The 13329-nt window shown below is 50.2% G+C and overlaps 2 long non-coding RNA genes across 2 annotated transcripts in view, besides 3 other annotated features; one reads left to right on the plus strand and one right to left on the minus strand.

Annotated features, from left to right (window-relative positions):
• Nucleotides 1-9541, plus strand: LOC105374383 (uncharacterized). Its single transcript, XR_939876.3, has 3 exons — nt 1-86; nt 3835-4082; nt 9472-9541. It is a non-coding gene; the product is annotated as an uncharacterized LOC105374383 (long non-coding RNA).
• Nucleotides 2557-3057: an enhancer, noted in NCBI's record as "H3K4me1 hESC enhancer chr2:28602778-28603278 (GRCh37/hg19 assembly coordinates)". NCBI's record gives its function as "activates a minimal SCP1, AML or CMV promoter by ChIP-STARR-seq in primed H9 embryonic stem cells {active_cell/tissue: H9 hESC(primed)}" and the evidence as "EXISTENCE:reporter gene assay evidence [ECO:0000049][PMID:30033119]".
• Nucleotides 3058-3558: an enhancer, noted in NCBI's record as "H3K4me1 hESC enhancer chr2:28603279-28603779 (GRCh37/hg19 assembly coordinates)". NCBI's record gives its function as "activates a minimal SCP1, AML or CMV promoter by ChIP-STARR-seq in primed H9 embryonic stem cells {active_cell/tissue: H9 hESC(primed)}" and the evidence as "EXISTENCE:reporter gene assay evidence [ECO:0000049][PMID:30033119]".
• The window catches only part of FOSL2-AS1 (FOSL2 antisense RNA 1), a 10264-nt gene continuing 3989 nt past the window's right edge, over nt 7055-13329 (minus strand). Inside the window, exon 2 of the long non-coding RNA NR_103831.1 lies at nt 7055-9779. This is a non-coding gene — a long non-coding RNA (FOSL2 antisense RNA 1). The remainder of the gene's footprint in view (nt 9780-13329) is intronic.
• Nucleotides 13104-13173: a silencer, noted in NCBI's record as "silent region_11307". NCBI's record gives its function as "represses an Ori minimal core promoter by ATAC-STARR-seq in GM12878 lymphoblastoid cells {active_cell/tissue: GM12878}" and the evidence as "EXISTENCE:reporter gene assay evidence [ECO:0000049][PMID:35858748]".

The raw sequence follows: 13329 nt of genomic DNA on the forward strand, positions 1-13329 counted from the left end.
ACCGCGACCTGCGATCATTGAACGAGGCACGCAGCGGTGGTGGTGGAGATAGGGAGACCCTCTGTGCCGGGGGGACCCTCACCAAGGTGGGCACCCTCTGAGCCTCCCGCCCCGCTAGCTTCCCCTTGGCCACCTCTAGGCAGCTTCCAGCAAGGATGTTCCTTCTCCCTCCCAACAGGCCCTCACCTGGAGCCTGCTCGGACCTGCCCTCTCCACAAAGCATGGTAGCAACTCCCTGGGGCAGAAAGTGTCTCTTCTGAAAGCAAGACAAGAGTTTAATGAAGCCCTAAACGCGCACAGTTGAGCCTGAAATTAGGGTGGTGAAGGGAGGGGAAGAAGGCAGTTGAGGACATGGGGGCTTCAGCCCAGCCCTGCCCCAGCTGAGCAAAGCAACCTGCAAGCAAACATTTGCAGAGCCCGAGGGCTTGGTTACAAAACATTTCTGACCTAGAAAGGGGAGAATGCCACGTTCCCTTCCCCCCAGACTCAGGTTTGGGGAGTGGTGTTGGGGTTTGGGGTTAATTTGGAAAGGGGGAACCAACAGGTAAAGAGAGGCCACCTCTGAAGGTGGATGCCTGGGTCTCTGAGGGTGTGGGGGGAAGCATGGGTCTGCCCGGACTGAAGCTGGGCAGGTGGGAACCCTCCCCACCCTGAGAGGGAGGGAAGGAGGGAGGACACTGAGGGCTGCTGGGCTCTAGGTAAGCCAGTCAGACTGCACACACAGGTGTGCCAGGGCTGGGACTCCTGCCCAGGACACCCAGCACCGCTCTACCAGGTGGGCAAAGCTCATTCTGCTCCCCAAAGAGGAAGGGAGTGGCCAGCCCTGAAGGGAGTGGCCAGCCCTGATTGACACAACCAGCTGGGCTCCTGGCTTTAGGGACAAAGCAACTGAGACTTGCTTTTACCAATGGTTGCAGGCATCTGGACAACTGGCAGTGTTGAAGGGAGCACTGGCCTCAGCCCCTCTCTATCCTGTCCCCAGGTCTCCCCAAAATGCTGCTGAGACATTCAAACCGCAGCCTCCTCCTTTACCTGGTAATTGATCCTCTTTTGCCCTGCAACTTGGGTTTGGTCTTAATTTGCCAGGCACTAAAGGCAAGAAGAGACGGGCAGGAGGGCGTGTTATCGCTTGTCTCCGGGCACAGAGGCTGTTGCAACAGAGCTCCTGAGTGCGTGTAAGAGTGCACGCGTGTAGCAGAGGAAGGGAACAGGCTGCACATGGGGTGGAGGATGGGTGCCAGCTTTCCTCCCTTGTGTGTGCCTATGGCAGGGGGAGGGTCACTGGGCTGATTTCTGTCCCTGAGGCAGGAGACCCCAGGACACAAAACAGACCCAGCAAGGCCTCTGTAGCTGCAGCCGGTGCCTGAGCTGCTCAGCCTCCCTGTGCTGACTGACACTGACTGAAGCTGGTCTCATAGCCCAACTCGTAGCTTCTCAGCCAGTCTTGACTGGCACCTGCCTGGCAGCCCATTGACCACTTAGTGGAGATGGTATGACACCCTGGGGGCTAGAAGCTGGTTGTAGGTTCTTTGACTTTAAGGGACTATCTTCTAAAGAGGCCAAAGTAGGCACCTTTGCTGGTGGCTCTGGCAGAGCTGCGGAAGCAGCAGCTCAAGTTCTGCCTTGAAGCTGAGTCCATTTGCTTTCCCCCTTCCCGGGACAGACGCGGAATCCTACCACAGTTATCCCATCACCGAATCAAAGGTATCATGGGGGGTGACGACCAGTGGGCAGGGGGTCAGAAGAGGCCCTGGGATCACTCAGTGCAGACTCCTTCGCCGCCTTCCTCCTCAGCACCCCTACCTCTCTTGGTTTCCTGTGGCTGCTATAACAGAGGACCACAAACTTGGTGGTTTAAAATAACAGACTCTTCCTCTTTCACAGTTCTGGAGGCCAGAAGTCGGAAATCAAGGTGTCGGCAGGGCCTCGCTCCCTCTGGAGGCCCTAGGGAGATCCATTCCTCATCACTTCCAGCTTCTGGAGCTGTCAGCATTCTTTAGCTTGTCCCTGCATCTGTCTCTGCTCTGTCTTTGTGAGGCCTTCTCTGTGTGCGTCATCTCCCTCTACCCCACTCTTATAAGGATACTTCCTGTTGAATTGTGGGTCTGCCCAGATAATCCAAGAATCCAAGATGATCTCCTCCTCTCAAGATTCTTAACCTCCTTACATCTGCAAAGACCCTTTTTCCAAATAAGCTCACATTCACACGTTCCCGGGATCTGGACACAGACCTATCTTTTTGGGAGACCACCATTCAACCTGCTATACCATTCAGTGGTTGGTAGGTTGTGGCTTAGACCCCTCTAGTGATGGGCGGCTCACTACTGCATGAGTTGGCTCCATCTATGTCCAAACAGGTCTAATTATTTTAAAGTTCTTACTTGGGTGGAGCTGAAATTTTGCTCAACAGGAACTTTTACCCACTGGCCTTAGTTCTGGTCTTCAGAGTACATACATCTAAATAAATAAACCCTCCAATCCCACCACCTCTGCCCCTGATTACAAGGCAAAAACAAAATGAGAAAAAGGATGAATGGGCTTAGTTTTGATACCAGGGAAAATGCAGAGACTCCGGTCTCCCTGGTGGCCCTGTCCCTAGGACTTTGTGCCTGTTTCCTCGCCGTAACACCAGAGAGTGGCCGAATCACCGTTTCATGGGATGCTTTTGAGAAATGCATCCTGGAGAGTCCCAATTTGCACTGGTACATTAAAGGCTCTGAGAAGTCCTAAGTAAAGAAATCCACTTAACCCCAATATTTTCCAAACTTATTTGAAAATACAGTGCTTTTATCCACTACCATCTTCTATCACCTTGCAAAACTTCCTCACTCTTTGGGGAAATGCTTTCAGTGATGCCTCGGGGTCTTTTCCAGCTTTCACAATCTGTTTAGGTCAAACCTAATCGTTCATGTGCTCAGATGCCCATCCCTAGCGCTGTTGTTAAGCATTTTGCTGGAGGTAACAAATAATCTGGAAAATTAGAGGCCCCTGCCCCAAGCCACAGACAGCCAGGGTGAGGCTGTGGGCGATGGCCTCCGCCTAGGGGCCCTGGGCCTCTCTAGCTCCTACCTGGCACTACAGGAAGCGGAGGGCCCCTGTGGGAGGAAGCCAGGGAAGTAAGGAGTATTTCTGTTGCTCTGTCCCCTGGAGATCCAGACCTTGTCTCAACTTCAGACTCAGCACTGCTCAGCCATCCTCGTTAGGTAATGCTGTCTCTGAATCAGGTCTTCTGGAAGCTTTATTTGAAGGTCTCAATTAACTTCTACCTTGGCTGTGGGGGGCGGAAACACACACACACACACACACACACACACACACACACACACACACACAATCTCAAAGGAGTTGAAGCTTATGAAGTGGGAGCAAGAAGAATACCTGGACCTCCCAAATGAAAGGTGCTTCTAGTGGGGAGAAAGAAGGATCTGAATGATTTGTCCTAATGGAAGAATGAGAGAGACTGCAGATCACTCACTGATGGAATCGGTGGGGCTGCGAGCTCTGAGAGAGACGGAAACGTTGACAGGAAAGCTGAACTAGGAGAATGGAGTGTCTTGAAAAGGCTACCACGTTTCTCCCCTTGCCCAGCGTGAGATGACATGTGGGCTATTACCCTCTCCTATCATTTTCTGTCTTTAAGACTCCTAGAAGAGGACACTCAGCCTCAGAGGATCAACCTTTATGGAGTGTCTGTTACCCAACAGTTTCATCTGCAGAAACAAGGTTCGCTGTGCCCTGAGATACAGCTGTTTACTGAGTGCCCTGTACCAGATACCATGCTAGCTGCTGACACATATATATTATTTAATCCTTTTAACCTCTAAAATCTTACAGGTGAAGACACCGAGGCTCAGGGAGGAAGCAAAGCGCGGAGCAGGGCCAGATCTGTCTGGCTCCTGACCCCACACCACAGCTTTCGACATTGTTTAGTAACAGCCTCTGCATCCTGAGGGTGCTCTCGCTAGGTGTGACTTGAATCTCTCCTCCCCTCGCCTGCGTTGGATCTGATGGAAGGACTGTGTAAGTAGGTCGGATCTGCTTCTAACCCAGCCTTGAGAGACATCACCTGTCTTCTTGTGCAGGTAAGTCGCCTTCTAGCTACTGGGGTGGGGAATGTTTGCTTTCTGTTAATGAAAAGAAAGAGGTGATAATAAATAAATGCCCAACCCAGTGCAGTAATCAGTGTCCCTAACAATAAGGCCCTGTGTTTGGTCTTGGCTGCGGGTTCTATTCATTGGCTAACGTCACTACTCAGGAGCCCCTGGGCATGTCAACAGGGTAGGGCCCCAGGCACACTTACAGGTGAGCGGACTGAGCCTTTCTGCTGTAAGCTCCCAGAATTCCTCCTGGGAAGTGAAGTTCCTGCAGACCTGCTTCCAGGTGCCCCAGGCCAGAGTGAGGGAGGTGCCTTGGGCTCCCAGGTGCATGGGGCAGTGGAAATGGCACCCTGCGCCTGGCATCAGGAAATGGGGGGTCTTGGCCCAGCTCTGCCTCTGGTGCCCTGGGTGATGTGAGGCAAGGCTGTTTCCCTCTCTGAACCACAGTTCCCACATTTGTATAATGGTGGGGGGTTGCACCAAATACACTCTCAGGTTCCTTCTAGTTCTGACACTACAGGATCCTGTAGACGCAGCTTCTCCCACATCTGCTTTATTCCAGATGCCACAGCACAGGGGCCCCCAGCTGGTAGGTGGAAGACCTCAGAGCTTCAGCAGCCCAAACTCTTTTTTCTGTGAGCTGCTGGACACGCTTTCCTGCCTCAGCTTCCCCAGACCCTTCCTTTCTTCCCCACTTGCATGTGTATGAAATTTCCCACTTTGTGAGACATTTTCAGAAACATTATCCCACTGGAGCCTCACCACAACCCTGTGAGATGGGCAGAGAAAGGAATGTAACACTGTGGGCATCACCCATGTGCCATGCCCCTTCCGGGCTGTTTCAGTGAATCTTCCTATAGCTAGAGAAATCCTTTTGGGAATAAGGCAGAGTATAAATAAACAGACGGTGGGTGGATAGTTAGATAAATACATACATGTGTAATTCTCACCGTGGCCTGGAAATCTTGGTGTTGTTATCATCACCACATCACAAGGAAGGAAAGTGAGGCGCAGAGGGGTTCAGTACCTACCCAGGGTCCCCTGGCTATCAGGTAGCAAAACCAAGATTTGAACCCAGGCCTCTGTGGCCTAAGCTCATGGCCCTTTCTGCTGTGTGCTAAGGACACAATCAACATTCTTTGCTCCAGATGAACTGGGTATATAGAGATGAAGTGACTTTGTCAAGGTTACCGAAGCTCCAACTGGCAGAGCCAGGAATCAAACCCCCATTTTTTGCCTACAAACGTAAGGCTCTTTCTGGAAACATCACAGTTGCCTCAAAAGAAAAACCAGTGGAGTCCCTTCCACCTTCCCTCCCTTTCTTCATTCCTCCCTTGCTTCTGTCTTTCCAGGAACATTCCCTCTCCTCTCACGTGTCCTGAGCAGGATATCGCATGATCTGCTCCTTGGCGCAGATAACAGAGCCACCACTCCCCAGGCTCTGTGTGTCTTTAGGGGCGTGGGGAGTGTGGGCCCCAGGCAGCAGCGCACGTGCTCAGTGACCCACAGCAGCTGATCCATGGGGTGTGGGGTGGGTGTGCTGACACCCAGGGGGACACTCATGGGGATTCTGGCAGCACCTGGTTGCACTCTGCGTGTGTTGTCCTTGGGGTGTCTGGCTGAGTCTGTGCAGGCCTCCCCTGTCCCTCTGAGCATACCCCAGGCAGCTGGAGTGGCAGGGCCTGCCCACACAATGAAGCTGGACTCTTTCTCTGAAGCACACTTGCCTTCCTGTCACCTGGCCCTGCTACAGAGTCTCCCTACCTCTCTCCTGAACCATGGCAGAAGACACAAGCTGCCAGCCTCCTCTCTGGGCTCTTCCTGTTGCCTTCCATTCTTTACCCTGCCACCAGAGAGATCAGCTTAAAACCAGACTTTTCAACTTCAGGCTGCAGCCCATGACATATGCCCCATGGGTCATGGGAAAAAAACATCTCACTCTGGAAAGTAGCAAATTTGTTTGGAAAACTCTTGCTTAAAGCATAGCCCAGAGCATGTCTTCTCCCCGCTTCTCAAGAAATGATCAATGGAGGAATCCTACTTACTTCAGATCTCTCCCCGTGTGTGTGTGTGTGTGTGTGTGTGTGTGTGTGTGTGTGTGTGTGTCTGTGTGTGTGTGTGTCTGTGTGTCTGTGTCTGTGTGTTTGTGTGTAGGGGGTGGTATTTTGGAGTGAATTTATTGAAGTCTAAAACATACATAAGGTACACAAATCATGTGCACAGCTCAATGAGTTTGCACAGAGCCAGCAGGCCTGTGCACACATTACTCAGCCTAGAAACAGCACTCAGCCAGCACCAGAGGCCCTTGGACCCCTCTCGTCTCTGCCTTCCCCTGACCCTACAAGGCCAACCATGCCCTGACTTCTACCATCATAGATTCATTTGCCTTAAAAAAATGTATATAGGCCAGGCACGTGGCTCATGCTTGTAATTCCAGCACTTTGGGAGGCCGAGGCGGGCGGATCACGAGGTCAGGAGTTTGAGACCAGCCTGGCCAACACAGTGAAACTCTGTCTGTACTAAAAATACAAAAATTAGCCAGGCATGGTGGCAGGGGCCTGTAATCCCAGCTACTTGGGAGGCTGAGGCAGGAGAATCGCTTGTGAATCCGGGAGGTGGAGGTTGCAGTGAGCCAAGATTGTGCCACTGCACTCCAGCTGGGTGACAGAGCTAGACTCCGTCTCAAAAAAAAAAAAAAAAGTATATAATGGAACAATATGTATTATCTTGTGTCTGGCTTATTTTGTTAACTATTCTATTTGCTAACCAGCTATGCACATGCATGTAGCATATACACATACCCACATAGATATACACCCATATATGTATGTACATATACATGTGTGTAATATATACATTTGTGTATATATGAATACCACATATGTGTGAAAAAATAATGTATATAAAATTTGTCCCCACATTTTGCTGAAATATTTAAAATAAAAAATCCAAACATTATGTCATTTCATCCTATATTCTTCAGTATGCATCTCTAAACAATATGGACATTATCTTACACAGCACAGTGAATGGTATTATCCCACCTAACAGAATTAAAACAATTCCTGGTCATCATCTAATATCCAGTTCACATTAAAAATTCCCAGTCTGTGAATTTATAGAAGTGCACAGATACAGGTGAGGCTGTGATCCCCACCACTGTTCCTGCCTTCTTTCCTGGCTCCTCAAGTCAGTGTCCATCAGCACTGCCTTTGGAATTCAATCCCAACTCTCCCAGGGTCTTCTGCAGTAGTCCCAAGTCTGGCACAAAACTCACAGAATGTTAAACTCAGCTAATTCAGACTCTCATTTGGTTTCTGAGTCCCTTTTAACAGCATCCACCATACAGACACAGCCTCTTTTTGAACATTTGCCCCAAACAGGTAGCACCATCTTCCTTAGTCAGGGGTCAGGTCTACTTCCTCCATTTGCGAGCGTCCATTTTTAGTCGTAGTCTTGTCCTCTGGGGTCACTCCAAATAAGCCTAGTTTCTTTTCCATGGGGAATATCTTCAGATATTTGGAGATACTTCAGATACCTCAGAACCATCCTTTCCCCACCCCGCCCCAGCCTCAGACTGTACGTTTTAGACCTTTCCTCTGGTCCCAGGCAATCCCATCAATTTACACTTGCCCCTGCATGCCCATACTTCCCTGAACCTGGGCCCTTCCTCATGCTGTCTGCCCTGTAGCTTCCCTGCCTTCACCTGCCAACATCCTATCAGACTTCTGAGGCCAATTTCACTGCTACCACCTTCGTGAGAACTTTTCTGATGTGTTCCATCCAATATAGAAAATTCTCACCCTTTGCATTAACCAGAGAACCCGGGTAGCTGCCTTGTGCTGTCAATTGTGTTCTGACTTGTTTTAAAGTTATTTGAGAATCTTTGTAATCCCTCACCAGCTTCCAAGTTCTTTGAAGACTGATCCTTTCTTACCTGCATTTGTTTTTCTGGAAATGTCTTGAAAAGCTTAGGTGCTCGGGCCGGGCGCGGTGGCTCACACCTGTAATCCCAGCACTTTAGGAGGCCGAGGTGGGCAGATCACAAGGTCAGGAGTTCGAGACCAGCCTGGCCAACATGGTGAAACCCCGTCTCTACTAAGAATACAAAAATTAGCCGGGCGTGGTGGCACGTGTCTATAATCCCAGCTACTCGGGAGGCTGAGGCAGGAGAATCACTTGAACCCAGGAGGCAGAGGTTGCAGTGAGCCGAGATTGCACCACTGCACTCCAGCCTGGGTGACAGAGAAAGACTCTGTCTCAGAAAAAAGAAAGAAAGAAAGAAGAAAAAGAGTAGTTGCTCACAGTATGTGCTCTGTGTTCACTAGCACATTTGGACCTTTTTGGTTGTAAGTGACAGATATCCAATTCAAATTGGCTTCAACACAAAAGGGATAATTTCTGTGTAACAGGAAAGTCCAGGGAGATAACCAGTGGAAGTATAATGGGGTTTAGGCCATCAAACAATGTCATCAGGAACTTGCTGTTCTCCACTGCTCAGCTTTGCAGCCCTCTAGGTTGGCTTTCTTCCTGGTAGTCCGTCTTCAAGGAGTAGTAAAGACTGTAGTGTCTCAGTTGAAAAACGAGTGCTTCTCTAAGAGTTTGAGCCACAGTCTCAAATGTGACTCTCAGAAGCCAGTCTTGGGTCATTGCTACAATCCTGAACCTATCACTAACTGTAGCCAGGGAAGTGAGATATTCTGTTTGGTCAGGACTGGATCGTGTGTCCATGTGTTCACCTCAAGAGCTCAAGGGTAGGGTCACCCATGGCACATGAAATGAGGAAGTGGAGGTTCTCCAAAGGAAAATTGGGGTGCTCTTACCAGAAGAAGACTTGTTCATTAACACTATTTGTACCAAGACTCTGGGGCCAGAATACCTGCAGTGAAATCTCAGCTCTGTTGCTTTTCAGCTCTGGAAACTTGGGCAAGTTGACCTCTTCTGATGTCAGTTTTCCCCATCATCGAATGGGGATAATAATTGTAGCTACCTCATAGGGGTGTTGTGAATATTAACTGAATTAATGCACTATATATGATCCAATTAAAATACTGTCTGGTACCAGGTAAGCCCAATTAGAGGTTTTTATAGGTGTACCCACAGTTATTGCCTCATGCCCCCAATATTTTGTGTGTTACTCTTTATTCTTCTTGGCTGGATTGGAAGTTGCCTGAGGGCAGTGCCCATCTAGGCTTCCAGCTTCTCTTATACCCTTGAGGACAGGCTGATAGTGGCTGTGAGACCATGGCTGTGAGACCCTGGCAGCATCCTGGGCCCCCCACCACATCAGAAGTAGATAAGCCTGCCTGAGCCTCCTGGTCTGGGCCTGGAGCAAGCGGGACTCCCAATAGCCCCTTCCCCCTTGCTTTCCCAGATCCTCAGAACAGGAAGGTGGCAGAATCGTGTTTCAAAGTGGGACTTGAAGATGCTTGGCAGGAGACTCGTCCAGATGGAGGGGCAGTGGGGAAAAGCTTTATTGCCTTTAGGACTTCTGTGTCTCCCTTGCCTTACAACGTACCCAACATTCAATCCAGTGTCCTGGTGGTGGCAGATGTGGAAGCCGAGTCTGGAGATGTCAAGGGGCTTGGCCCAGGTCACACAGCCCGCCATAGTAGGGCTGCCCTTGGAGCTTCATTTCCCAACTGGAAGCCAAACCCTGTGCCGCCTCTGCTTGTGCAGATCCTAGAACCAGAGAAGAAGCGGGGCAAGTTGTCCTGTTTCTCTTCTCCCAACCTGACAAACATTCCTACCAGGGGTGACTTCTGTTCTGACTCATAAAGATATTTCTGAATAATAGCACTGGTCACTTTATCTCTGGAATGTATCCGGCTTTTAAAAAAACAAAAAACCAAAAAACTGGTGGCAGGGAAGTACCCTCTTCCTGCCCGCCCCCTCCCCCACCCCCACCAGGGCACTGATTCCACTCAGTCTCCTAGGGGCCTCGTGGGGGTGGCCAGAAAGGCCTCATTTGCATATGCTTTCTCACAAGTCTTGCCTACACTTCAATGTAACTCTAAATGTGTTCTAAGGAAATAAAAAGGTTTTGTTGTCATTGTTTGCTTCTTGTTTTTTATTAAATTGAGGGTAACATACATAAAGTAAAATGAAGAAAATGCTGTAATCCTAAGGGCAGAGCCTGTGGATGAACTTTAACATACCCACAGATGTGTAATACCCCACTCAGATAGAGATTGTTGTTTTAAAACTATGATTATGATTGCCTCTAGAGTGATATTTCTTGTCTTCATTTCTTCTCCATTGGCATATAGCCCATTCATGAAATGGGAATCATGTTGGGTGAAGGCTTATGTGTCACATCTGAGAAGACTTTAGCTGGGAGGGTTGCTCTTGGAATTTCAAGGAGGTTGTGTAAAGCCACAGGAGAGAAAGTCATACTTGCTTCTTCCCCAGGTGTGGATCCCTGTTCATCAGTGGGTATAGCCTTTTCTCTGCTCCACACCTGAGAGATACAATACATGCCTCAGTGGCTCGTGTATCATTGTGAGTGGCTTCGTGTATCAGTAAAGAGGGGAGATGTGGTTTGAAAAAGCTGTTCAGGCTATTCCATTGTTCACTTCCACAGTAGGTGAGGTGTAAGGCTCACTGATTTACCTTATTTCCTTCATTCTGAAACACGATCCCTCGTTAGATCCCTCATGTGCTTAATGGGATCTATACTGGTTATTCCCCATTTGCTGAGTGCCCCACTAGATGCGCTCTCTACCCTTCTTTGCCATTCTCTGTGCCCTGGGAGGCCAACCTTAGTGGACTACATTGATCAGCAGCCCCCTGCCATTTGGCCAGAGAAGGAGGTAGGAGGTGGGAGAGATGGTCTGGTATTTCTTGACCCCAACTCCTCCCTCCCTTTCAGCAGGCTATCTCTGGCAGTGGCTCCTTCCCTCTACCTGCTGGATGGCCCCTCTTTCATGGTCCCAAGCTCACTAGGCTCCAATAACATGATTGCCTCCTCTTTTCAACCCTAGGGATGGTCATCATTTCCTGCTGTTACTAGGCTCTAGGTGCCTCAAGTTCCCTCTTAACTCTGCCCATACCTCTATAAGGAATTTCTCCATTAAAGCATCATCCTTTGAACCATCTGGGTTAAAGTCTGTTTCCTGATGGACCCATGACTGATTCACAGGTCTTTGGACAAAAACGGCAACACTTGCATATTCAATAGTCATCGATTATAAGATACATCTGGCTTTCAGAAATGTTACAATATCATCAAAAAGTATGGCTTACTATAAAGAAATGATGGCAGGTTCATTCAGGCATGATGGATATAGAGGACAGTGTATCATTAAGAGATGTAAGTTGGGCACAGTGGCTCATGCCTGTAAACCCAGCAATTTGGGAGGCCAAGGCGGGCTGATCACTTGAGGCCAGGAGTTTGAGACCAGCCTGGCCAACACGGTGAAACTCCATCTCTACAAAAAACACAAAAATTAGCCGGGTGCAGTGACGTGTGCCTGTAATCCCAGCTACTTGGGAGGCTAAGGCAGGAGAATCACTTGAACTTGGGAGGCAGAGGTTGCAGTGGGCCGAGATCACGACACTGCACTCCAGCCTGGGAGACAGAGGAAGACACTGTCTCCAAAAAAAAAAAAAAAAAAAAAAAAAAAAAAAAAAAAAAAAAGATGGAGTTTGCTCCTAAACTTACAAGGTTGGAAGCATGGCAAACAGCAAAGCGCTGGGTTTAAAGTCAGGTGAGATGGCTTTGAACTCAGGCTCTGACACTTACAGCTGGAAAATTTTGAGTAGGCTGCTGTGACACTCTGCACCTCGGCCTCCTTTCTGGCAATCCAGAGTCACTCTGCTGTCTATATCCCTTTCAGAGATGTCATGTGTAAGGACAAATGAGGCGATGTGTGTGAAAGGGCTTCATGTATCCGGTGCTGAGATGTGTGGGCCAGCACAGCTCTGAGGGGGCAGCTATTCTGGGATTCCTCATCTCTCAGGGGCCAAACACTGGCCAGGATGGACAAACAAGGAGACCGGCAAAAGTAAGGCAAGAGAGGTCTCAGAGACCCAGAGAGGCAATGAGAAGACAGCTCACCTACCCTTTTCTTCCCAGCTCATCTACCCTTTTCTTCCCACCCCAGCTTCCCTCTTCCCCTTCCCTTCCCTCACTTGACATGGCCTCTTCTCTAAGCTGAGGGATGCCGCTGAGGCTATTTGTTCAGTGGAGAATTAAGGCGCACCTCTAAGTGTAGGATAAAGTCATGCACCAGATAAAGACCATGCCTTTCAAGACCAGTAAGAGAGAGACAAAGACATTCCAACAGGAGGCAGGTCATGCCATGTCCTGGGGAAAAAGAAGAGCCTGGTGTCGGAGAATCTCAGCTGCACTCCTAACAGATCACTAACTCACTAACCAGTTCCCCTGGACAAGTTATTCAATCTCACTGTCTTCTTCTGCAACCAGGGAATAATACCCACCTCCAGCGTTTGCTGTGAGAATTTCACAGAACAAGCCCTGTATTCAGCATGGTGCCTGGCTCTGATTTTAGCACTCAATAAAGGGTCACCTCTATTTTTAGCATTCCAGGGAGCCAGAGGACCCTTTCTAACTGGATGATTCTGGAATGATTTCCCAAGGAGAGGGCACTTGGAGACTGAATTCTCTGTATGGCAGGCACAGTTCGCTGAGGCACTCGCTCAACCGGGGGAGGTCAGTCCCGCAGCAGCACCAGGGCACAGCGCTGTGTGTCCGGCGCTGGGGGGACTGAAAGGGGGTGAGCGGGCTGCGGAACGCAAGCCTCCCGGCGGGCAGAGGGAGCCAGCACGAGTTCTGGAGTAGGAGAGGGCCGGGATCAAAGCGCTCTGAGGCAGGCCAGGGCGCACCAAAGGGAGGCTAGTGAATTGCATCAGCACAGATTCCGTGATGCTCTGCAGACGTCTCCAGGCTGCTGGGCTTTACGGGAACCCACAAGAAAGGAAAGGACCGGGGAGCTGGCAGGGCGAGGGCGGGCGAGGGCGCGAGGGTGCGCTCGCCCGCGCGCTCCCGGCGGCGCCTGGCCGGGGCTGGGCGCGCCCGGGACTGCGGAGGCCGCGGAGGAAGCTCCCGCTCCCCTTCCCCCGCCTCTTTCCCCCCGCGTTACTGGAAGGACTGTGTGGGAGAGACCCAGAAGCACCCGGATTTTCGACCGCCAGGTGGGGGAGGGCGGGGCAGCCTCTACTGCTCAAAGGAAAACCAAAAGTGCGTCTGTTCGCGCCGCTCCGACACGCG

The sequence above is a fragment of the Homo sapiens genome, chromosome 2 (genome assembly GCF_000001405.40).
Source record: "Homo sapiens chromosome 2, GRCh38.p14 Primary Assembly".
Classification (NCBI taxonomy): Eukaryota; Metazoa; Chordata; class Mammalia; order Primates; family Hominidae; genus Homo; species Homo sapiens.